The sequence below is a fragment of the Homo sapiens genome, chromosome 10 (assembly GCF_000001405.40).
Source record: "Homo sapiens chromosome 10, GRCh38.p14 Primary Assembly".
NCBI classification, from domain to species: Eukaryota; Metazoa; Chordata; class Mammalia; order Primates; family Hominidae; genus Homo; species Homo sapiens.
The window spans coordinates 73,083,831-73,109,358 of record NC_000010.11 but is presented as its reverse complement, the minus strand read 5'-3'; the positions used below and the strand labels follow the sequence as shown (position 1 = coordinate 73,109,358).

The window sequence follows — 25,528 nt, the reverse complement described above, 5'->3', positions numbered from 1 at the left end:
GTGCATTTTTACAGAGTGCTGATTGGTGTGTTTACAATCCTTTAGCTGGACACAGAGTGCTGATTGGTGCATTTTTACAGTGTGCTGATTGGTGCATTTACAATTCTCTAACTAGACAGAAAAGTTCACCAAGTCCCCACTCCACCCAGGAAGTCCAGCTGGCTTCACCTCTCAGCAGAGCTACTTTGGTGCTGCTCTCTTCTCGTTTTACTACTGAAGTTACTTGCCTATGAGAGAAGACACTTTTTTTTTTTTTGAGATGGAGTTGCTCTGTCGCTCAGGTTGGAGAGCAGTGGTACGTACAATCTTGGCTTACTGAAACCTCCTCCTCCGGAGTCAAGTGATTCTCCTGCTTCAGCCTCCCGAGCAGCTGGGATAACAGGTGCACACCACCATGCCTGGCTAATTTTTGTATTTTTAGTAAAGCCAGGGTTTCGCCATGTTGACCAGGCTGTCTTAAACTTCTGACCTCAAGTGATCCACTCGCCTCAGCCTTCCAAAGTGCTGGGATTACAGGCGTGAGCCACCGCACCCAGCCAAGAGAAGAAGTCCACTCATTCAACATGTATTTAATGAGTACCCAATGTGCCTAGGACTGTTATAGGGATAGGATACAGCAGGGAACAAAACATGAAAATCTCTGTCCTCATGTAACTTACATTCTAGAAGGGGAAACAAACGAGTAAATATACAATGTGTCGTGGTTATAAAGCTTAAGAAGAAAAATAAAGCAAGATAAGTAGAGGGATTATTTTGCTATTTTATATAGGATGGTCAGCCTCATTGTTAAGATAATATTTAAACAAAGACCCTGAAGAAGGTGATGAAGAAACCAAATTTATATCTATGGAAAGAGATTTGTAGACAGAGCAAAATAAGCATATGCAAAGGCCCTGGGGTGGGAGTGTGCCGTTTGAGGAAAGGCTAGGAAAGAGCATGGTGATCAGAGATGAGATCAGAGTAGGCCGGGCATGGTGGCTCATGCCTGTAATCCCAGCACTTTGGGAGCCCGAGGTGGGCACATCATTTGAGGTCAGGAGTTTTAGACCAGCCTGGCCAACATGGTGAAACCCTACTAAAAATACAAAATTAAGCCAGGTCTGGTGTCACATACCTGTAGTCCCAGCTACTTGGGAGGCTAAGGCACAAGAATCGCTTGAACCCGAGAGGCAGAGGTTGCAGTGAGCTGAGATTGCGCCACTGCACTCCAGCCTGGGTGACAGAGCGAGACATTGTCTGAAAAAAAAAAAAAAAAAATCAGATTGGTTCATTATCCTTAAGGAAGACACAGAAAATTGTAGGGAAACAAGATATAAAGTCAATGGATTCTAAGGATGCTTAGGGGGAAATTGGGGCTCTAATAATTTAAAAAGTCAAAATAACTTTTTGTAGTAATTGTTAAGTGCTATAATAATAAAAATAGCTCAGACTGAGCATTTGCTGTGTTCCAGGCACTATGCTAAGTGTCCCACATATTTGTCATTAATCCTCACATCCTATGAAATCTGTATTAAAATTTGTACTTTAGGCTACGTGTGGTGGCACACGCCTGTAATCCCAGCACTTTGGGGACTGAGGTGGGAAGATTGCTTGAGTTCAGGAGTTCAAGAAACCAGCCTGAGCAACATGACAAAACACCATCTCTACAAAAAATACGAAAATTAGCTGGGCATGGTGGCATGCACCTGCGGTCCCAGCTACTCAGGAGGCTGAGATAGGAGGACTGCTTGAGCCCAGGAGTGAGCCGAGATCATGATGCTGCACTCCATCCAGCTTGGTGACAGAGACACCCTGTCTAAAAAAAAAAAAATTGCACGTTACAGATGAGAAAACATAGGCTTAGAAAAATTAAGTAGGGGAGGCGCGGTGGCTCACACCTGTAATCCCAGCACTTTGGGAGGCCAAGGCGGGTGGATCACAAGGTCAGGAGTTTGAGACCAGCCTGGCCAATATCGTGAAACCCCGTCTCTACTAAAAATACAAAAATGAGCCAAGTGTGGTGGCGTGCTCTTGTAGCCCCAGCTACTCGGGAGGCTGAGACAAGAGAATCGCTTGAACCCAGGAGGTGGAGGTTGCAGTGAGCCAAGATTGAGCGACTACATTCCAGCCTGGGCAACAGAGTGAAACTCCATCTCAAAAAAAAAAAAAAGAAAAGTAATTTGTCCATATTTACACAGCTAATCAGTAGAAGTGTTGGGATATTAAACTAAATCTGTCTTAAGAAAGAATCTGTACTTTTGACCACCATACTATAGACCTGGATTGTATCTCTGACTGGGTGTGAGGTAGAGAAGTTGAACATAAATATTGGAAAATATTGGAAGGATTGAAAGAATCCCATGTTCATAAATTGGAAGGCCTAATTTGGTTAAAATGGCATATTCCCCAAATTGATCTACAGATTCAATGCAATTTCTATTAAAATCTCATCTGGCTTTTTTTGCATAAGCAACAAAGGAAAAAATAAGACATCAAAATTTTAAGAACTTTTGTGCTACAAACAATATCATGAAGAATATAGAAAGATAACTCACAGAATTGGGAAAAATTATTGCAAGACATGTATCTGATAAGGGACTTCTATCTGGAATATATAAAGAACACTTAAATAACACAGTAATAAAAAGATAAACAACCAAATTTTAAAATGAGCAAAGAATCTGAATAGATACGTCTTCAAGGAAGATAGAAAAATGACCCATAAGCACATGAAAAGATTTGCATGGGAAATGCAAATCAAAATCATAATGAGATATCATTTTATACCCAATAGGATAGCTACAATCAAAATGCAGATAATGACAAGGAGTGGTGAGGATGTGGTGGAATTGGAATCCTCATACACAGCTGGTAAAATTGTAAATGGTGCTGCCGCTTTTGAAAACAGTTTGGTGGTTCCTCGTAAAGTTAAATATAGAGTTACCAAATGACCCAGCAATTTAACTCCTGGATTTATATTCCCAAGAGAATTGAAAACAAATGTCCACAAAAACTTGTAAATTAATTTTTGTGAAGCATTATTCACAATATTCAAAAAAAGTACAAACAACCCAAGTGACTATCAACTGATAAATGGAGAAGCAAAATGTGGCATATCCAACCATGCAATGACATATTTCTGGCAACAAAGAGGAATTATATATACTACAATATGGATAAAGCTTGAAAACATTATGCTAAGTGAAATAATCCAGTCACAAAAGAGTACATATTGTATTCCTACGAAATGTTCATAACAGGCAAATCTATAGAGACAGAAAGCAGATTAGTGGCTGCCTAGGAATGGGGGCAATTTATATGAAATATACCTAGGGTTGTGATTGCACTTATGTGAAATATTCAGAATAGGCAAATCTGTAAGACAAAAAGTGCCTAGGGATGGGGATGAGGATAGTGTTCAAAGATAATGAGGAGTAACTGCTCATGGAAACAGGATTTTGTTTTTTGTGGGATTTTTTTTTTTTTAAGACAGGATCTTGGCCGGGCGCGGTGGCTCACGACCGTAATCCTAGCACTTTGGGAGGTCGAGGCGGGTGGATCACGAGGTCAGGAGTTCAAGACCAGCCTGGCCAATATGGAGAAACCCTGTCTCTACTAAAAATACAAAAATTAGCTAGGTATGGTGGCGCGTGCCTGTAATCCCAGCTACTCCGGAGGCTGAGGAAGAATTGCTTGAACTGGGACCCGGGAAGCAGAGGTATCAGTGAGCCGAGATCGCGCCACTTGCACTCCATCCTGGGCGATAGAGGGAGACTCTGTCTCAAACAAACAAACAAAAAAAGACAAAGTCTCCCTCTGTCGCCCAGGCTGGAGTGCAATGGCGCAGTCACGGCTTACTGCAGCCTCAACCTCCCAGGCTCAAGTGATCCAGCCTCAGCCTCCCCAGGAGCTGGGAACACAGGCACCCGCCACCAAACCCGGCTAATTTTTTTTTTTTTTCTGAGACGGAGTCTCGCTCTGTCGCCCAGGCTGGAGAGCAGTGGCGCGATCTCAGCTCACTGCAAGCTCCGCCTCCCGGGTTCACGCCATTCTCCTGCCTCAGCCTCCCGAGTAGCGAGTAGCTGGGACTACAGGCGCCTGCCACCGCGCCCGGCTAATTTTTTGTATTTTTAGTATAGACGGTGTTTCACCATGTTAGCCAGGATAGTCTCGATCTCTTGACCTCGTGATCCACCCGCCTCGGCCTCCCAAAGTGCTGGGATTACAGGCGTGAGCCACCGCGCCCTGCCAATTTTTGTATTTTTAGTAGAGACAGGGTTTCGCCATGTTGCCCAGGCTGGTCTCAAACTCCTGCCCTCAAGTGATCCACCAGCCTCGGCCTCCCAAAGTGCTAGGATTACAGGCATGAGCCACCATGCCTGGCCAGATATCTCTTTGATGTACTGATTTGTTTTCTTTTGGGTTAATACCCAGCAGTAGGATTGCTGGATTATATTAAGATGATAGTCCTATTTTTAGTTTTTTGGGGAACCTTCATCCTGTTCTCCATAGTGGCTGTACTAATTTACATTCCTACCAACGGTGTATGAGAATTCTCCTTTCTCCATATCTTCGCCAGCATTCATTATTGACTGCATTTTGGATAAAAGCTATTTTAACTGGGGTGAGTTGATATCTCGTAGTTTTGATGTGCATTTCTCTGATGATAATGATGTTGAGCATATTTTTATATACCTGTTGGGGCAAGGTTTATTTTTTACTACACAGACATGAATACAGAAAGTGGAGAAGAATTGGATCTATTAATGCAACCAATCTGCCACAGTAGTTCCATTAAAAGTATTCCTCAAATTGGCCAGGCTCGGTAGCTCATGCCTATAATCCCAGCATTCTGGGAGGCCTAGGCAGGTGGATCATTTGAGGTCAGGAGTTTGAGAGCAGCCTGGCCAACATGGTGAAACTATCTCTACTAAAATTACAAGGAAAATCGCTTGAACCTGGGAGGCAGAGGTTGTAGTGAACCAAGATGGTGCCACTGCACTCCAGCCTGTGTGACAAAGGGAGACTCTGTCTCAACAACAACAACAAAGTATTCCTTAAATTATATAGGATATGAAGCAGTGATGTTTCACTTCTGGATTGACTTAAGAACTAACATTAACCTTAGACTAATTATAGATACCACAAGTATATATCCCTCTTCTTTACTTTTTGTCTGCATTAAGATTAGTTATAATTATTTTTTCATTTCATAATTTTCTCAAAGTCATTGAAACAGGTCTAAAACTTATCAGCTTTGGCTCTATGATTAACAAACAACAACAAAATAAAATACCACACAATTGCATATCATACAGCATCCAATAATGATTACTCATATTAATCTAGTACTTCATACTTTTCGAAGAAATTTCAAAATAACATCAATTGACTTTTATAATGTCTTTCTGTGGATGGTAGGGCAAATATTATTATGGCCATTTGGTGAATGAAGAAACTTTTGCATAAAAGTTAAAATAATTCACTCAGATACCGTTAATGGTGGACTAGAATCTGGGTTCACTGATTCTACTACTGTTTCTTCCAAATAAGAAGTTATACTTTCTACCAATTTCCGTAATTTTGAGATTTTCCTGCCTCAGCCTCCCAAGTAGCTGGGATTACAGGCTCGTGCCACCAGGCCCAGCTAATTTTTGTAATTTTAGTAGAGATAGTTTCACCATGTTGGCCAGGCTGCTCTCAAACTCCTGACCTCAAGTGATCCACCTGCCTAGGCCTCCCAGAATGCTGGGATTATAGGCATGAGCTACCGAGCCTGGCCAATTTGAGGAATACTTTTAATGGAACTACTGTGGCAGATTTGGTTGCATTAATAGACTCAGCTCAATTTCCCAATTTTTATTTTAATTTTTTTGAGACAGGATCTCACTCTGTTGCCCAGGCTGGAGTGCAGTGGTGCAATCACAGCTAACTGCAGCCTTCACCTCCCAGCCTCAGGCAATTCTCCCACCTCAACCTCCCCAGTAGCTGAGACAGCAGGTGGGCGCCACCATGCCTAGATAATTTTTCTTTTTTTTTTTTAGAGACAGAGTCTTGCCACGTTGCTAAGGCTGGTCTCAAATTCCTAGGCTCAAGTGATCCTCCTACCTTGGTCTCCCAAACCGCTGGTGTTACAGGCATGAGCCACTGTGCTTAGCCCCAGTATTCTTATTTTGGTTGTTGATACCATTATTTTGCCAGTTTTAATTACATCTGCAAAGTTCTTTTGCCGTGTACGGTAACATATTCACAGGTTTTCGAAATTAGGATGTGGACCTTTTTGAGGGGCCATTATTCTGCCTACCACAGTGAGCATCCCCGTTGAGGCTACTTGACGCAGGTGGTCTGACTACCTCACTGCAGCCATTTCCCACAATGCCAAAGTGCCAGCATGTTAGTGACTAGAGTCATTTCCAGTTTCAGCTACATTCTAGAATCCCTTATGTCTTGATTGTCATGTCCCTATTCATAAGCAAGGAAGAAGTCTCTATCACTTCTACTCCCAAGGCCCGTCCACATGTCTGCTGACTTGGCATTCACAGGTAAACCCATCCTCTTACACTGAGTTTTTCCTCTGTTAAAGGTAAATAACATAAGGTTACTCCATTGCTTAAAATACTTCAATGCTTTCCCATTACTTGTTACAGTACTTAACAGGTCGGCATGACCTAGCTTTTGCGTACCTCTCCAATCTCCTCTCATATGGGTTCCTTCCTTCCTTACTGCATTGTAGCCACATTGAATTTCTTTTTTTTTTTCTTTTTCTTTTTCAGACGGAGTCTCGCTCTGTCACCCAGGCTGGAGTGCAGTGGCGCGATCTGGGCTCACTGCAAGCTCTGCCTCCCGGGTTCACGCCATTCTCCTACCTCAGCCTCCTGAGTAGCTGGGACTACAGGCGCCCGCCACCACGCCCGGCTAATTTTTTGTATTTTTAGTAGAGATGGGGTTTCACCGTGTTAGCCAGGATGGTCTCAATCTCCTGACCTCATGATCCACCTGCCTCAGCCTCCCAAAGTGCTGGGATTACAGGCGTGAGCCACTGCGCCCGGCCCCACATTGAATTTCTTTAGCTCCTCAAATGCACCAAGTTGTGTGTGTGTGTGTGTGTGTGTGTGTGTGTGTGTGTGTGTGTGTGTGTTGCTACATGGACCTCACATATAAAGACACACAGTAATATTCTCTCTCTCTAAATGTTCTTATTCACACACTTCATCTAGCTAACTCAGTTCTCAGTTTAAATGTCATTTCTATAGTGATACTTTTCTTGTGATATCAATCTAAGCCATGTCCCTCGCCTTCTTCTTTCCCAGAGCACCCTGATGATTTCATTTTTTTTTTTTTTTGAGACGGAGTTTTGCTCTTGTTGCCCAGGCTGGAGTGCAATGGCACAATCTTGGCTCACTGCAACCTCCGCATCTGGGGTTCAAGCAATTCTCCTGCCTCAGCCTCCCAAGTAGCTGGGACTACAGGCGTGCACCACTACACCCAGCTAATTTTTTTTTTTGTATTTTTAGTAGAGACCGGGTTCCACCATGTTGGATAGGTTGGTCTCGAACTCCTGACCTCAGGTGATCTGCCCGCCTTGGCCTCCCAAAGTGCTGAGATTACAGGTATGAGCCACTGTGCCCCGCCAAACATGTTTATTGGCCATATATATATATATATATATATATATATTTTTTTTTTTTTTTTTGAGATGGAGTCTCATTCTGTTGCCAGGCTGGAGTGCCATGGCACAACCTTGGCTCACTGCAACCTCTGCCTCCTGGGTTCAAGCAATTCTCCTGCCTCATCCTCCCGAGTACCTGGGACTGCAGGCGCGCACCACCACACCCAGCTAATTTTTGTATTTTTAGTAGAGACGGGGTTACACCATGTTGGCCAGGCTGGTCTCAATCTCTTGACGTTGTGATCCGCCTGCCTCCACCTCCCAAAGTTCTGGGATTACAGTTGTGAGCCACCGCACCAAGCCTTTTTTTTTTTTTTTTTTTTTTAGATGGAATCTCACTCTGTTATCCAGGCTGGAGGGCAGTTGCATGATCTCAGCTCACTGCAACCTCCACCTCCCGGTTTTAAGTGATTCTTGTGCCTTAGCCTCCCGAGTAGCTGGAACTACAGACATGCGCCATGATGTCCATCTAATTTTCATATATATATATATGTATTTTTTTTTTAACAGACATGGGGGTTTCACCATGTTGGCCAGGCTGGTCTCGAACTTCTGACCTCAGGTGATCCACCCAGCTCGGCCACCCAAAGTACTGGGATTACAGGTGTGAGCCACACCTGGTTTCCTTATTATTTTCACTTGTCAAATGTGTATGTACGTATATTTGTGTGTGTATGTTTTTTAATGTTGTACATACATACTTTTTTTTTTTCTTTTTCACTCTGTTGTCCAGGCTGGAGTGCAGTGGTGTGATCTCAGCTTACTGCAACCTCTGCCTCCCAGGTTCAAGCAATTCTCCTGTCTCAGCCTCCAGAGTAGCTGGGATTACAGGTGCACGCCACCATGCCTGGCTAGTTTTTATATTTTTAGTAGAGGTGCGGTTTCAACATATTGGTCAGGCTGGTCTCGAACTCCTGACCTCAGGTGATCCACCCACCTCAGCCTCCCAAAGTGCTTGGATTACAGGTGTGAGCCACCATGCCCAGCTGAAACATACATTTTTATGTTGTAGGTTTTCTTCAAAGGACTCCAAATTCTACAACAGCAGGAATCATATACCCAGCACTTACCATAGTCTGGCTTATATGGGCAGGCAATTATTTATGGATGAATGAATTTCTATTGCCACAGTGCAGGTTTTAATTCTTTTCAACAAAGATTATAAGCTCCTTAAAAGCAGAGATTGTCTAATTAAAGTTTGATCTTCCACAGCTCAGTAGGCAGTGTCTTGGACACAGAAGGTAGGTGTTCTATAAATATTTATTCTATGAATCTTGAATTACTAACCTAGACTCTCTTTCTCTTCTAATTCACATAGCATATGTGATTGATTAAAGTTCACAACTCATTGTTGGTAATGTCATATAAATTATTAGGCTTGTTGTCCAGTTTTGAAAAATCTCCAATAAGCTATTTATTTATTTAGACACAGGATCTCTTTCTGTTGCCCAGGCTGGAGTGCAGTAGTGAGACCACAGCTTGCTGCATCCTATATCCTGATCCTCTAGCCTCAGCCTCCTGAATAGCTGGGACTACAGACACATATCACCACACCCAGCTAATTAAAAAAACTTTTTTTGTAGAGGTAAGGTCTCACCATCTTGCCCTGGCTGGTCTCAAACTTCTGGCCTTAATAGATCCTCCCACCTGGGCCTCCCAAAGTTCTGCAATTACCTGGGAGAGCCACCACATCCGGCTTCCAAAAGATTATTTAATATATGACTTAAAAAGAGTTCAGGACCCATCAGATTTCTTTAAACTAATGACACTCTTTAGTTTGTTGTGGATGTCCTCATCAAGTTCTGAGAAAAAAATATAAATTTCTTTTTTGGGCAGGGCCCCACAGCTCATGACTGTTATTGCAGCACTTTGGGAGGCCTAGGTGGGAGGATTGCTTGAACCCAGGAGTTCAAGACCAGCCTGGACACATGGTGAGACCTGTCTCTGCAAACAAAACAAAATCCTACAGAAAACCCGGACATGGTCGTGCAGGCCTGTAGTCCCAGCTACTTGGGAGGTGGGAGGATCGCTGGAGCGCAGTAGTTGGAGGTTACGGTGAGCTATGATCATGCAACTCCACTCCAGCCTGGGTGACAGAGTGAAACCCTGTCTCTAAGAAAAAAACAACACTTTTTTGGCTAGGTATTGATGAATGCTAAATCTTTACAATTTTACACATCCAATAATTGGAATAATTTCCCACAGATTAGCTTCAGGTTCCCAAAATTTCAACCCTGCTTCTCTTCTACTATTCACATAGTTTTTGATGCTAGAACATTGGACACATTAAAATAACTTCAAGAGTTCTGGCCCTGCACCTTTGTTTTGCAATGCTGGGTGGATCAGCACAACGGGCAATTGGAGTATTCTTGGAAGCCACTGGGACAGCTGGCAATATCTTAACTACACATGGAAGTGACTGTGGGTTATAAAAATATATCCCAGTAAATTCAAACCAAATGTATTCCTAACTCAACTTCCCTTTAGCTAAATTTCAAAAATGTTTGCTTGCCACTCCAACACTAGACAAAGGGAAACATGGTGGAGGGAAGTCACTAAGGACTAAAGATTGCAGTTTAAAATACATTACTTTTATAAATTTTACAGAAGCATAGGACAGTGTGAACATATTACTAGGGACCCTTCCAGGGACTTGGAAAGGGCTAGTGTAAATGAGGGCACCTGAAGCTGAAGCCTCCTTAGCTTCACAGTAAATCTGCTTCAGAGTCTACGGCCATTTTAATTACTGAGTAAACTGTCAACTTTCAGAGTCAGCTCTATGTAGGGCTAGTGAATATGTTGATTACAGCTCCATTTGAGGAAGTTTTTTTTTTTTTTTTTGAGATGGAGTCTGACTCTGTCCCCAGGCTGGAGTGCAATGGTGTGATCTCAGCTCACTGCAACCTCTGCCTCCTGGGTCCAAATGATTCTCATGCCTCCGCCTCCTGAGTAGCTGGGATTACAGGTGTTTGCCACCATGCCCAGCTAATTTTTGCATTTTTAGTAGAGACAGGGTTTCACCATGTTGGCCAGGATGGTCTTGATCTCCTGACCTTGTGATCCGTCTGCCTTGGCCTCGCAAAGTGCAGGGATTACAGGTGTGAGCCACCGCACGCCCTGCCTCTTTGGTCTTATAATTACTTTATACTCCTAAAAAGTATTGAGGACTCCAAAAAGCTTTTATGTGGATCATATTTATCAACATTTACTATATTAGGAATTAAAACAAACATATAAAATATTTATTCATTTAAAACAACAATAATAAACCTGTTACATGTTAACATAACATAAATAACTTTTTTTTTGAGAGAGGGTCTGGCCATGTTGCCCAGGCTGATTTCGAACTCCTGGGCTCAGGTGATCTTCCCGCCTCGGCCTCCCAAAGTGCTGGGATTACAGGTGTGAGCCACTTCATTTGGCCTAATAACATATTTTTAATGAAAAATAACTATTTTCCAAAGCAAAATAATTTAGTGAGAAGAGTGGCATTATTTTACATTTCTGCAAATCTCTTCAGTGTCTGGGCTAATAGAAGATTCTCATATCTGTGTCTGCGTTCCATCTGTATCACAGGCATGTAGTCTCTGGAAGACCTCACTGTATTGTTATTAGAGTGAAAAAGGCAGTAAGTCTTAGTATGAAAATAAAGTCTTAGTATGAAAATAATTTTGACCTTATGGATTCCCTGACTACGCTTTCAGAACCATTGATTTAGACATCATTATATCTACTTTTTAGTTGCCTAGTGCTCCCAGAGTACCCTCTCTCTCTTTCTGTAGCTATATAATCACTCACCTCCTGCGTAAGTCAAATGTTAATTATTGCTATACTTTTTAGCATACATGGAAAACTTTAGAAACCACAATTCTTAATGAATAACAAGTCTTAGCAACTCATTTTTCTCTTTAACTGACAAGGAAAAAATTATCTTCTTCATTGTATTCTCCCTCATAGTACAGGGAGATATAAAGAAACCCTTGGTTTGGGGTTACTTTATAACTAAGGCAAATGTTAGACTAAGATCAAACGCAACATTGGGTGCCTTATATAAATTAATGTTACTGGAGAATCTAATATTTACTAAGTCATTTCTGTGTGTGAGGCATGTGTTAAGTGCTTTACATACATTATCTCATTTTATTCTCACAAGAATCTTACAAGATGGGTAGTACCGTCATTTCTATTTTACAGATGAGTAAACGGATACGGAGAGGTTGTTAATGCCTAGTGTTACACACAGGATTGAGGCAGGATTTGAATTGAGATAACCTGACCCTGGAGCTCTTAGTCTATTATCTACTGATAAGGTATAAAGGTAGGAGATAGAGCACGATTAGTATAAAATGAGTGCTGAGATGTGAGAGGAACAAGACAGCTGAGATACCAAGACTGAATCTCTATTATTTTCCACCCTAGAAAAATTCTGCTTTATTTTCTACACTCCCACGTTCCTCTTCTCATTTTTAAGATACTTTATTGCCGGCGGCCTCGTCGCTTAGGCCTGACGCGGACCCTGAAATCAAGGAGGCAAACTGAACAGGAGCGGGGGAAACCCCGTGGTAACCACGGTAACGGTGGCGGGGCGAGAACCCTGCGCAGGCGCGTTACATCCCACTCCCGCTTACCCACACCACGGCGGCCGGTCCCAGCCACTCCTCTCGGCCTCAGACTCCACGGGCCGGCCACGGGTGGGGGCAGCAGGGAGGCACGGGCTTGGCGCCTGCGCAGTCGCCGGGGCGCTGGTGTGATCGAGCTCACGTAGCGAGGGCTGCAGTCGCCTCCTCCCTGGCGCTGCCATCGCGGCCTAGAGGTTATAAAAGGGCTAACGGGCTCCCTCTGCTGCCCAGTCGCGCCGCCAGCGGGCTGAGGGTAGGAAGTAGCCGCTCCGAGTGGAGGCGACTGGGGGCTGAAGAGCGCGCCGCCCTCTCGTCCCACTTTCCAGGTGAGACGCTCCCTCGATCCCGGAGACTGAGGCCACTGGGCAGCCGTGGACCTTCTCGGACGGCTGCGGCGATCCATTCCTTCCCGCTGTGGTGGTACTTCTGGGGCGGGGGTTCCCCAGGTTACCACAGCAGCCTCGGTTCCTTCCCCTCGGGAGACTCGGCCCCTCTCCCTGCGCCACGCGACTCCCGGCGCCCGCGCTCCTTCGTGCCCCCCTTCCCACCTCTGTCCCTAGTGCGCCTCGGACCGCTGGGGCTGCTGCAGCCTCAGTCCCCGCCCTAGGGACCAGGACTTTCTTGAATTTTCCTTCCCGGGGAGGAATCACTCTGTTGCTTTTTTTTTTTTCCAAGTTCCCCTGCACCTGGTCCTCCCTAACGAGGCTAAGGGGAACGCAAGCGCGGGGCGTGGGCTTTTGGCCGCCACAGCCGCAGATGGTTCGCATGTGGCGGTGGAGAGCGGATTTTAAGGCTTGGAGCTGGATCCGCAGCGCGCCAGGCATTTTTGCCCTATCGAAAGTCGCCGGGAGCTGGGGGGACCTCCCCAGAAAGTTCCGGCTGAACTCATCTGTTGCGCGCAGCGGTGCAGCATTAGCTGCCAGACGTAGCCCGGGGCGCCGAGCTTTCTGCTCGTAGCGCCGAGGAAGTAGGCTCTCAGGTCACCTCGTCGTCAGGGAAGCTTCCTTCCCTCTTCTTCCCCATAACTTTTTTTAAAAAGAGACAAGAGCTCTTCTCTCAATCTCTGTCTCTCTGTCTCTCTCTGCCGAGAATTTGCAGCTTTTAAAAGTCCACATCAGTCCAACAAATTCCATGGTTGTGTGAGGATTTTGAGTTGGATTACATGGCTGGCCCCCGGATGTATGTTTCAATGGGGAGGAAGGATGGTATGATAACTGTGAGACTCTTTCTCCTAAATAATCGACTCTGTTACATACAAATTCAATGTTTAGACACTAACATCTTACGCGTTCCGGATAGAGTGAAGACTCTTGGAATTTTGCACTGTTTTCTTTAAGAAAGGGTTGAAGAAGCAGCTAGATCCTCTTTTAGGAATTGATCTAAAAGGCCAAAGAGACTTGCCAATTTCCACTTAACTGTTTCTGGTTTCTCCGAGAGCAGTGGTTCTCGGACTTTCGCTTGGAATGCACTCGGAGGGGATGAAATAGCCACTACGTGAAGGGGGGAGGGGCAAAGACGTGGCAGCAGCGTTCTTTCATCAATTTTTTACTCTTTTTTTTTTTTTTTTTTAAAGTTCTGGTTAGAAACGTATTTCCCCTTTTAGGTTTAGACGTAGCTTATGAATGAGGCTAGTCTTTTCCTAAAATAATCAGATGAAGAATTCAGTCTGCATAGCAGGAACGTTGGAAGTTAATTTAAAAAACATTTTAAAGGGATTTTTAGAATCAAGTTTCTATGGAGAAAATCGGTATCCTAAGACGATATATTCAAGAAGCTGAAAGTGAACAACCTCAACTATATTTTGTCTTCATGTGAAATGTGAATACACACCCCGTGATTTTTTTTTTTTTTTTTTTTTTTTTTTAGCTTGTGAGCGTAATTTAAGAATCTGAAATGTGAACTTCAAATTTTACTTTTTTCTTTATGTGGGAAAAGAGACTTTATCACTTACCTTTAATAAAATTCATAGTCAGTTTTGGTTTTGGGACATTGTGCCTTAAGTCCTGCCATTGTTTTTGATAGCTGATGACAAATGTTTCTTAGATTTACATAGACTAACTAGGAAAAGGACTATTTCTGTCTCTTTTAAATGGGTAGTGCTGTTTTTATTGACATTTTGAAATGAGTTTTATTTTGAAGTACTGAAAATCAGGACTTTGGTAGGCGGATAATTACATTGGCCATTTTGTGTTTTGGTAACTTAGATGGTAAAACAGTTGAAAAATGTGTACAACTTTTAATTATGCCAAAAAAATTAGTGCAAAAGACTATTGAAAAAAAGTTTTATATTGCCTTGTAGTCTGGGTTGTTGCAGATGAATCTTGGCTTTTTGGCAAGGAGCTGTTAACCTTTTCTATTAGTGCAGAATAAGTTGTATACTGAAAAGCAGTGTTTTTCAGTAGGGCAATTAAGTTCAAACGGCATTTATTCCAGAGATGCAGCAAGAGCTGGGACAGCCATAAAGCTTGTGAGCCTTCCTTTCTGTGGAAGGAATGCTTTATTTTACTTAGCAACCAGTTATCAACTAGGATATAATTATTGCTCTTGAATTGACCTGTGAGATACATAATAGTGGTTCTCAAACTATTTTAAGGTCATGAAATCCTTTGAGAATCTGATGAAAGGTGTGGTCCTATGTCAGAAAATGCAAATACACCCTACATGGAATTTTGTATGTCACTTCCTGCCCCCCCACTCAAGTCCATTCATGAACTTTATTATAAGAACCCCTAAAAAGTAAGAGATGTGAAGTTACTCTCTAAGGGTATCTAGGTGTCTTGAGGCAGTATTGAATGTTTCTGAAAATCGAGCTGGGCATGTAAGTCTGACTGGACTTGTATATGTGGGTGACCCTAATACATTTTTGCCAAAAGGGTTTTAACAAAAGTTAATAGGTTGTTAGAATTGTTGAAATGCTAAATTGTCTAGTCTGTGAAAGTATATCACATTGCATGCCCTCTCCTATATATGGTAACTTAACTTTGGTTTTCCATTCTGAAAGTGGAACAGGCTTGGAAGTAAACAAAAATAAATTGCATAGGCTCTTGGCATTAAACTTTATTGCTTTTCTTGCAGTGAGATCTTGAATCTTGTAATTAAACCATAATGTGTTGTGTGTGTATAAATATATGAATATATATAAAAAATCCAAATAAAATGAGTATGTGTGTGTGTGTGTGTGTGTATATATATATATATATATATATATATATATATATTTTTTTTTTTTTTTTTTTTTTTTTTTTTTTTGAGATGGAGTTTCACTCTGCCACCCAGGCTGGAGTGCAGTGGTGCAATCTCGGCCCACTGCAAGCTCCACCTCCCGGGTTCACGCCATTCTCCTGCCTAAGCCTCCCGAGTAGCTGGGACTACAGCCGCCCACCATCACGCCCAGCTAATTTTTTGTATTTTTAGTAGAGACGGGGTTACACCGTGTTAACCAGGATGGTCTCGATCTCTTTACCTCGTGATCTGCCCGCCTTGGCCTCCCAAAGTGCTGGGATTACAGGTGTGATCACGCCACCGTGCCCGGCCAAAGCTTTGTGTTTCTATTCAAGAAAATTTATTTGTATAAATTGAAGCTGTCCTGTCATTAGGACAGCTTCAGTTTCTCTAGTTGAATAAGTATTGTACCTAAAGAAAAGCTTTGGCAATTCAAAAGGACTCTCATTTAGGTTACTCCAGCAGTTTTTAAACTCGGTGTGGTGAAAAACATTCTTTTTCCTGGTCTTCCTTTGGATGATCAGTATGACTGTTAGTATATTTGATTTGACATTTGCTAAAAATACATTATAGAGATTCAGACTTCTTACCTAGTTGTCATCAGTGAATGAGTTCTATATTGGGCCTTTCTCTTCCTCATGTTTAGTGTTTCATAAAAATGTGTCCATATTACTCATTTCTTTCTTAAATAGTAATATTATGTGGAATTAGTACACTCAGCCTTACTCTCTCTTTTTTTTTTTTTTTTAAGAGATAGGATCTTGCTCTGTTGCCCAGGATGGAGTGCAGTGGTGTGACCATAGCTCACTGCAGCCTTGAACTCCTGGGCTCAAGCAATCCTTCTGCCTCAGCCTCCGGGTGTAGCTCGGGGTACAGATGCATGCCACCATGTCTAGCTAATTTTTTAATTTTTTGTAGAGATGGGATCTTGCTCTGTTGACCAGGCTAGTCTCGAACTCCTGGCCTCAAGTGATTCTCCCATCTGCCCCACAAAGTGTTGGGATTATAGGTGTGAGCCACCATGCCTGGTCATCCTTACTCTCTTGTTGGACACTTGAGCTGTTTCTCCATTATAAGTAGTGCAAAGAGAGGACTGTAATTTAGTGGTTTATTTTATCAACCTGTATAATTACAGTAAACTTTAACCAATTTTTTAATTTTTAAATTTATATTTAAATTTTTTTTTTTTTAGAGACAGGGCCTTACTATGTTGCCCAGGCATGGTGGCTCACACCTGTAATCACAGCACTTTGGAAGGCCGAGGCAGGAGGATCACTTGAGGCCAGGAGTTCAAGACCAGCCTGGTCAGCATAGTGAGACCCCATCTCTCTACAAAAAAAATTTTTTTTTAATTAAGGGGGCATGAGGTTGCATGCATCTGTAGTCTAACTACTTGGGAGGCTGAGGTGGGAGGGTCGCTTGAGCCCAAGAGTTGGAAGCTGCAGTGAGCTATGATAGCACCATTGCACTCTAGCCTGGGTGAGAGTGCAAGACCCTGTCTCTAAAAAAAAAAAAAAAAAAAAGAAAAGAAAAAAAAATTATTTACAATATGGCCAGTAGACTGTAGGAAAATCAAGAATGATGAGAAATGTTTCATAGGAGAAGTAGGACATAAAAATTACATGATATAGCACCATGTGGCTAACATTTTACTAGATATTAAATCTGTAGCACTGAATGGAAATGCATATCTAGATTCACATCCTCTACAACCATGAATTCATTTTTCCCTGTTCTAGTATACATGGTCTTATTTTGTCTCTCTTTACCTCAACTTGAGAAATTTGGATCTGGCATTAGAGTAAACAGATAATTGAAGACTAGAAAGAGGTAGACTGGGTGGAAATAAAAGTGGAATTTTGACAGAATAGCCTTGGGAGGGATGAAGCTGAGTATACCTGGGCCTCAGAGCAATAATCCATTTTTTAGGAGGAAAGGGACTGCTAAAGCCAGCTTTTGAGTATTCTACTCTGACCTGAGTGGCCTTGGTCTGAATAGCTCATGTTCAGAGATAAGAGTATATTTAACTTTTTTGTACTAAGAATAGTATTTGAGTAATGTTATAGGTACATATGAGAATTTGGCCTTCATCTCTGCCGAGTCAGTTAAACACAAGTTTCTCTAGATATTTCCATTACAAGAATCAAAGCTCTTTGATTTTTGGAACTTCAGTAAAACCCAAGAATGAATAGCCGAGAACTATCATACAAGTCATAAAATTAAAAGGCATTGAACAGTGTATGAAGCATCAGATATCCTGTTACATGTGTCTGCAACAATAAATTAAATATTGATTAACTGATTTTAAGTAGGCTCAAGACTTCTCTTACAGTTCTAATCTTATATTAACTAGATTTGCATATCTAATTTCTCCAAAAATATGATCAAGAAATGTTTATTTTAGTCTAGGCGTGGTGGCTCACATCTGTAATCCCAGTGCTTTGGGAGGCTGAGGTGGGAAGATCTCTGGAGCCCAGGAGTTCAAGGCTGCTGTGAGCTCTGATTGTTCCACTCCACTCCAGCCTGGGTGACAGAGCCAGACCCTGTCTCAAAAAAACAAAAAAAGTTGGTATTTCTAAAACCTACTGGTTGAATTTAGGACCTCAAAATGTTACTTGTGTGTGTGACCTTTGTTCTTGCCCTATGGTTCTGACAACCTTCCTCCTTTTTATTTATTTATTTATTTATTTATTTATTTTTTTGGTAAACTCAGGCAACATATTCATAGTCAAAGGTTACATGAAGACATTCTCAAATTTACATGATTTCAAAATTTAGTTACTTCTTTTTTTTTTTTTTTTTTTTTTTTGAGATGGACTCTCACTCTGTCACCCAGGCTGGAGTGCAGTGGCGCAATCTCGGTTCACGGCAACCTCTGCCTCCTGGGTTCAAGCAATTCTCTGCCTCAGCCTCCCGAGTAGCTGGGATTACAGGCACCCGCCACCACGCCCGACTACTTTTTTGTATTTTTAGTAGAGACAGGGTGTCACCATCTTGGCCGGGCGGGTCTCGAACTCCTGACCGGGGGTGATCCATCAGCCTCGGCCTCCCAAAGTGCTGGGATTACAGGCATGAGCCACCGCACCTGGCCTGCAGTTACTTCCTTTAACCTCAAAGATATTTTGAAAATAGACCTCAATTTACTATGCCTGAATTTAAAAAACCTTAATATTGTATTTGAAAATAGTGAATAGTGACCATTGCCACCAAGTAGAGTGATAGTAATAAGTAAAACACTAATCTTTGATATAAGGGTGATTACTAATAAATTGAATAAACTGATATATTTTAACGACTTTATTGAGCAAAATTGACAGGACAAATTGCATATATTTACAGTGTACAATTTGATAAATTTGACAAAAATATCTACTTAAAAAAATATCAGTACAATCAAGATAAGGAACATATCCATCACCTTCAAGAGTATCCTCAAGGTCAGGCACAGTGGCTTAGGCCTGTAATCCCAACCCTTTGGGTGGCCGAGGCAGGAGGACTGCTTGAGCCCAGGAGTTCCAGACCAGCCTGGGCGACATAGAAAGACTTCATCTCTACACAAAATAAAATAACATTAGCTGGGTGTGATGGTGCCTGCCTGTAATCCTAGCTACTTGGGAGGCCGAGGCAGGAGGATTGCTTGAGCTGGGGAGGTTGAGTCTTCAATGAACTGTGATTGTGCTACTGTACTCCAGCCTGGTGACCGAAATGAGTCTCTGTCTCAAAAAAGAGTATACTTGGCCAGGCGCAGTGGCTCACACCTGTAATCCCAACACTCTGGGGGGCCGAGGCAGGAGGACTGCTTGAGCCCAGAAGTTCAAGACCAGCCTGCGCAACATGGTAAAACCCTGTCTCTACAAAAAAATTAAAAAGCCAGGTGTGGTGTTGTGTGCCTGCAGTCCCCGCTACTTGGGAGACTGAGGTGGGAGACTCACCCAAAGCCTGGAGATTAAGGCTGCGGTGAGCCAAGATCACGCTACTGCACTCTAGCCGGGGCATCGGCAGTATCCTTATGACTTTTTGTAATCCCTTCTTTTGCTCCTTACTACCCTCTCTGTATCCCTAGGAAACCATTGTTTCCTTTCTGTTGCTTAAGATTAGTTTTTATTTTCTAGAATTTTATAAAAATGGAATTGTATATACGCTTTTTTTTTTTTTTTTTAGCACGGGGAATCTCCTTACACTCAGCATAATTTGAGATTCATCCATGTTGTTATGTGTTCATAGTTTTTTATTGTTGAATAGTATTTTATTTTATGAATATACCATGATTTTTTTTAACCCATTTACCCTTTGATGGACATTTGGATTGTTTTCACTTTTTGACTATTATGAATAAAGCTGCTATGAGCATTCATGTACAAGTTGTTGGAGAGAGATATGCTTTCTTTTCTCTTATATTAATGCCTAGGAGTGCAATAGCTAGATGTGATAGGGAAATATTTTTTCCCAGTTGTTGGCTTGTCTTCATTCTTTAAACAGTGTGCTTCAAAGAGCAGTTTCTATTCACAGACAACATGTCTGTGACTCTTCAAAAAAGCTCTAGTGAATAGGTTAATTCAGCAGAGTTGTAGCTTAGAAGGTCAATATACAACAGTAAATTGTATTTCTATATACTAATAATGAACAATTAGAAACTAAAGTGAAAAATTCCCATCTCATTAGCACTAAAAACCATGAAATACTTAAGTATTAACTTTTCAAATGGTGTGTAATATTTGTATGTTGAAAATTATGAAACACTGATTATATCATGTTCATGGATTAGAAGACTCAGTATTAAGATACCTACTCTTCTCAAACTGATTTATAGATTCAGCACATTTCTAGTCCAAATCTCAGAGGATTTCTTATAGAAATTAATGAGCCGATTCTAAAATTAATATGGAAAACCAAAGGAACTAGAAAAGCTAAAACAATTTTGAAAAAGAATAACAAAGTTGGAAGATTCATACTACCTGATTTCAACTTAGTTTAAAGCTGCAATAACCAAGACTGTGGTATTGGAGAAAAGATAGACATACAGATCAATTGAACAAAATAGAGAATTTAGTCACACAAAAATTGTCAATTCATTTTGAAAAAGTTTAAGGGCAGTTCAACAGAGGATAGTCTGGAACAGTTGAATATTCATATGCAAAGAAAAAACAATCTTTGTTTTATTTGGGCACCAAGTATCCACTGTTGGACACTGGGCAGTCCCTTGCCCAGGAATTTATGTGAATATTGGGACAAGTGACATGAATCCACCAGTGGATATGAAATAAAGTTTAATCACACAGTAAACAGCAAAAGGACTCCTCAAGGTCAAGGACTTAGGTTTAGTCCAGGATGAAGCAAGAGTGAAACAGGGTGGGTGGCTTTGGTTTTTATTGACCAGAAGGTGGAACTTGTTTGATGGTCCCCATGTGTGGTATTTACATGGTTTCAACTTCACACCAGTACCAAGGGAGGGAATACTGGTCCCCAAGTGTGGTATTTATATGGTTTCAACTTTACACCAATACCAAGGGAGGGAGTACCTGGGCTTTCTTACAGACTTACCCAGATGTGGGACAAAAGGGAGAGAGGTGTGGGACCTGAAGGCAATCTGCACTCAAACATCAAAATGAAATCTTTTTATTAGAGCCTCAATCTGTACTTGACACTGTATGCAAAAATTAGTTCAAAATGGTTCGTAGGCCGGGTCTGGTCGCACACGTTTGTAATCCCAGCATTTTGGGAGGTTGAGGCAGGAGGATTGCTTGAGCCCAGGAGTTTGAGACTAGCCTTGGCAAGAGTGAGACCCGTTTCTATTTTAAAAAATGTTCATAGATTGTGAAGTAAAATGTACAGCTATAAAATATTTGAAAGAAAACATAGGACAAAAATATTTTTGACCATGGGTCAGGCAGAGATTTCTTGGACATGATGCCAAGAACATGATTCATAAATGAACAAACTGATAAATTAGACTTCATCAAAATTAAGAAATTCTGCTCTTCCAAACACACTGTTGAGAGAATAAAAAGACTTCACAGACTGGGAGAAAATATTCCCCATCACATATCTGACAAAAAATAGACTGTATAAGGAACTCAAAGCTGGGCATGGTGGCTCACGTCTGTAATCCCAGCACTTTGGGAGGCCAAGACTGGAGGATTGCTTGAAAATCCAGGAGTTTGAGACCAGCTTGGGCAACATAGCAAGACCCCATCTCTATTAAAAAAAGTAAACAACCTAATTAAAAAGAGCAAAAGATTTGAGTAGACACTATGCAGGAAGGTGTATGAACAGCAGATAAACACCCCAAAAGGTGTTAAACATAGGCCAGGCATGGTGGGTCATGCCTGTAATCCCAGCACTTTGGGAAGCTGAGGTGGGTGGACCATCTGAGGTCAGGAGTTCAAGACTAGCCCGGCCAACATAGCGAAACCGTCTCTACTAAAAATACAAAATTGGTCAGGTGTGGTGGCACGTGCCTGTAATCCCAGCTACCTAGGAGGCTGAGACACGAGAATCACTTGAACCCAGGAGGTGGAGGTTGCAGTGAGACAAGATTGTGCCACTGCATTCCAGCCTGGGCGACAGAGTGAGACTCTGTCTCAAAAAAAAAAAAAAAAAATAAAGGCATTAAACATCATTAGTAATTATGGAATTGCAAATTAAACCCATAATGAGATAGTACTATATGTCTATTGTGAAAATTAAGATATTAAGAGAAACTAAGGAAAAAACGGCAATACAAAATGCTGGTAAGAATGGGAGCAATGGAAACTTTCATCCTTTGCTGTTGGAAGGGCAAATAGTGTAGCTACTTTGGAGAAACGTTTGGCAGTTTTTTATGAAGGTAAATATATACTTGTCATATGACCCAACATTCCCGCTCCTAGGTATTTACCCAAGTGAAATGAGAACTTAGGTTGATTTCCTCTTTTTTTTTTTTTTTTTTTTTTTTTTGAGATGCACTCTCACTCTTTTACCCAGGCTGGAGTGCAGTGACACAATCTCGGCTCACTGCAACCTCCACCTCCTGGGTTCAAGCAATTCTCCTGCCTCAGCCTCCCAAGTAGCTGGGATTTACAGGCATGTGCCACCACGCCTGGCTAATTTTTGTATTTTTAGTAGAGATGGGGTTTCACCATGTTGGCCAGGTTGGTCTTGAACTCCTGACCTCAAGTGATCTGCCTGCCTCAGCCTCCCAAAGTGCCGGGATTACAGGCGTGAGCCACCGCTCCCAGCCTGTTTTCTTTTTAATTTTTTTAAAACAGTTTTATTGAGTAATAATTCACGTACCATGCAATTTTCCCTTTAAAGTATACATTTCAGTGGCTTTTAATATATTCACAGTTGTGTTACCACAACAATCAATTTTAAAACATTTATATCACTCCAAAAAGAAACCCCAGAGCCAGTAGCAGTCACTCCCATTGTCCCTTGCCTAACCCTGGGCAACCACTAATCTACTTTTTGTTTCTAGAGATTATTTTACTTAATGTTTTCAAGGTTCATTTGTGTTATAACATATATCAGTACTTCATTTCTGTTTATAGCCAAATAATATTCCATTGTACGGATAGACCACACTTTGTTTACCCACTAATGGATATTTGGGTTATTTCCACCCTTTTGGCTATTATGAATAATGCTGCTGCCGTGAACATTCATGCAAAAGTTTTTGCCTGGGCATGTGTTCTCATTTCTTTTGGGTATAGACCTATGAGTGAAATATCTGGGCCATATGGTTATTCTGTTCAGCTTTTTTGAGGAACTAAACTGTTTTCCAGACCAACTGCCTCATTTTACGTTTTTACCAGCAATGTATCAGAGTTCCAGTTTCTCTGTGTCCTTGTCAATACTTGTAATTGTGTGTCACTTTTTGTTTTAAAGAGATGAAGTCTTACTATGTTGCCCATGTTGGAGTACAGTGGCCATTCACAGGTGCAATCATAGTGCAGTTATATGCTCAAACTCCTAGACTCCAGTGATCCTCCTGCCTCAGTCTCCCAAGTAGATAGAACTACAGGCGTATGCCACTGTACCCAGCTAGTCATTTTTTACTGTAGCCATCAAAGTGGCAGTGAAGTGGTATCTCATTGTGGAATTGATTTGCATTTTCATAGTGATGAATGATGTTGAACATCTTTTCATGTACTTGCCTCTTTGGAGAAATGTCTATTCAAATCCTTTGCCCATTAAAAAAAAATCACTGGCCGGGTGCGGTGGGTCACTCCTGTAATCCCAGCACTTTGGGAGGCTGAGGTGGGCAGATCACCTGAGGTTGGGAGTTCAAGACCAGCCTGACCAACATGGAGAAACTCCGTCTCTGCTAAAAATACAAAATTAGCCAGGCGTGGTGGCACATGGCTGTAATCCCAGCTACTCGGGAGGCTGAGGCAGGAGAATCGCTTGAACCCAGGAGGTGGAGGTTGCAGTGAGCTGAGATTGTGCCATTGCACTCCAGCCTGGGCAACAAGAGCAAAACTCTGTCTCAAAAAAAAAAAAAATTATTGAGTTCTAAGTTCTTTATATATTTGGATACTAAACCTGATGCTATCGGAAATGTGATTCGCAAATACTTTTTTACATTGTCTTCGCTTTCTTGAAGCACAGCAGTTTTAGATTTTGGCAAAGTTCAATTTATTTATTTCTTTGGCTTCTTGGTGCTTTAGGCGTCATATCTAAGAAACTATTGCCTAGGCGTTATGATTAATTGCCTAATCCAAGGTTATGAAAATAATTTTTTTTTTTAAATGAGATGGACTCACTCTGTCACCCAGGCTAGAGTGCAGTGGCACAATCATGGCTTATAGTACCCTCTGCCTCCTGGGTTCAAGCAATCCTTCCACCTCAGCCTCCTGAGTTGCTGGGACTATAGGAGCATGCCACCATGCCCGGCTAATTTTTTTATTTTTTTGTAAAGACTGGGTTTCACCATGTTGCCAAGGCTGGTCTCGAACTCTTGAGCTCAAGTGATCCTTCCATCTTGGCCTCCCAAAGTGCTGGGATTGCACCTTGGTGGCATGAGCCACCAAGCCTGGCCAGTTTATTGTCTTAAACTTCAAAATGGTCTTAATGTGTTAATTTTAGGGTAAATTTACAGTTATCTTGTTTATTCCCAGGTAATTAAGTGTTGCTGTTGCAAATGAGCTTTTTAAAATTGTTTCCTGTGATTGGTTATTCTTTGTATATAACGGTCATTTTCTAAAGAGAATGCCAGTTTTTTTCCCCAAATGGTCATTTTTCAAGTAGTATAACTGCTATATAAAATTCAATCTTGGTCTGGGCACGGTGGCTCACATCTGTAATCCCAGCACATTGGGAGGCTCAGGCGGGAAGACTGCTTGAGACTAGCCTGGAGGTGGAGTTGGAGACTAGCCTGGGCAACATAAGGAGATCCCAACTCTACAACAAATAAAAGAAATTTAAAAAATTGGCCGGTCGTGGTGGCACAAGCCCTGTAGTCCAAGCTACTCAGGAAGCTGAGGTGGAAGGATCACTTGAGCCCTGGAGGTCGAGGCTGTAGTCAGCTGTGATTGCTCCACTGCACTCCAGACTGGGCAACAAAGCCAGACCCCCAAACAATACAATTAGTCTTGAATGAAGTTTCATGAAAACTTCTGAATTTGGAATTGTTTGCCTTACTTAACTTCATAATTTATATTTAAGTTTAAGAAATCTAAAGTGCATATTGTACAAAACTTTTAAACTTTTTACTTGTATCCTTAGGGTGGTGAAAAAACCAAAGCTGTCTTATCAGAACTTCTTGTTTAAATCAAAAATAGGTGAAATTTGTTTGGGAACAAAAGGGATTGATGGTGGTATTATGCCAGCTAGAAGCAGAGCTGTGGAATTCATCATTTGGGATTTTGCTAACTCTATGATTTATCTATTTACTTAAACTTTGTTTTTTTGTTAGCTTGTTTATTTACAGAAATAGAATTTTTTTAAATTAAAAATGTTTATCAAAGAAGTGTAGATGTTGAGGGAAGAGAAAAACAACTGTGATTCCACCTCTCATTTAACATTTTTTTGAGTTCTTTTAATTATTGTATTAAATTTA

General features: G+C 41.6%; 1 protein-coding gene across 4 annotated transcripts in view, besides 5 other annotated features; it reads left to right on the top strand.

The window, feature by feature from the left end:
* Nucleotides 1,932-2,172: a silencer, noted in NCBI's record as "fragment chr10:74866945-74867185 (GRCh37/hg19 assembly coordinates)". NCBI's record gives its function as "represses an EF-1alpha promoter that drives an FKBP-Casp9 reporter gene in an ReSE screen in K562 erythroleukemia cells {active_cell/tissue: K562}" and the evidence as "EXISTENCE:reporter gene assay evidence [ECO:0000049][PMID:32094911]".
* Nucleotides 12,043-12,112: an enhancer, noted in NCBI's record as "active region_3555". NCBI's record gives its function as "activates an Ori minimal core promoter by ATAC-STARR-seq in GM12878 lymphoblastoid cells {active_cell/tissue: GM12878}" and the evidence as "EXISTENCE:reporter gene assay evidence [ECO:0000049][PMID:35858748]".
* Nucleotides 12,143-12,472: a silencer, noted in NCBI's record as "silent region_2480". NCBI's record gives its function as "represses an Ori minimal core promoter by ATAC-STARR-seq in GM12878 lymphoblastoid cells {active_cell/tissue: GM12878}" and the evidence as "EXISTENCE:reporter gene assay evidence [ECO:0000049][PMID:35858748]".
* Nucleotides 12,143-13,112: a biological region, named in NCBI's record as "H3K27ac hESC enhancer GRCh37_chr10:74856005-74856760".
* Nucleotides 12,357-13,112: an enhancer, noted in NCBI's record as "H3K27ac hESC enhancer chr10:74856005-74856760 (GRCh37/hg19 assembly coordinates)". NCBI's record gives its function as "activates a minimal SCP1, AML or CMV promoter by ChIP-STARR-seq in naive H9 embryonic stem cells {active_cell/tissue: H9 hESC(naive)}" and the evidence as "EXISTENCE:reporter gene assay evidence [ECO:0000049][PMID:30033119]".
* Nucleotides 12,493-25,528, top strand: part of P4HA1 (prolyl 4-hydroxylase subunit alpha 1) — an 89,650-nt gene continuing 76,614 nt past the window's right edge. For all 4 annotated transcript variants that reach the window (NM_001142596.2, NM_000917.4, NM_001017962.3 and 1 more), the window contains exon 1: nucleotides 12,493-12,593. The gene's annotated coding sequence lies outside the window, so the exon portion shown is untranslated. The remainder of the gene's footprint in view (nucleotides 12,594-25,528) is intronic.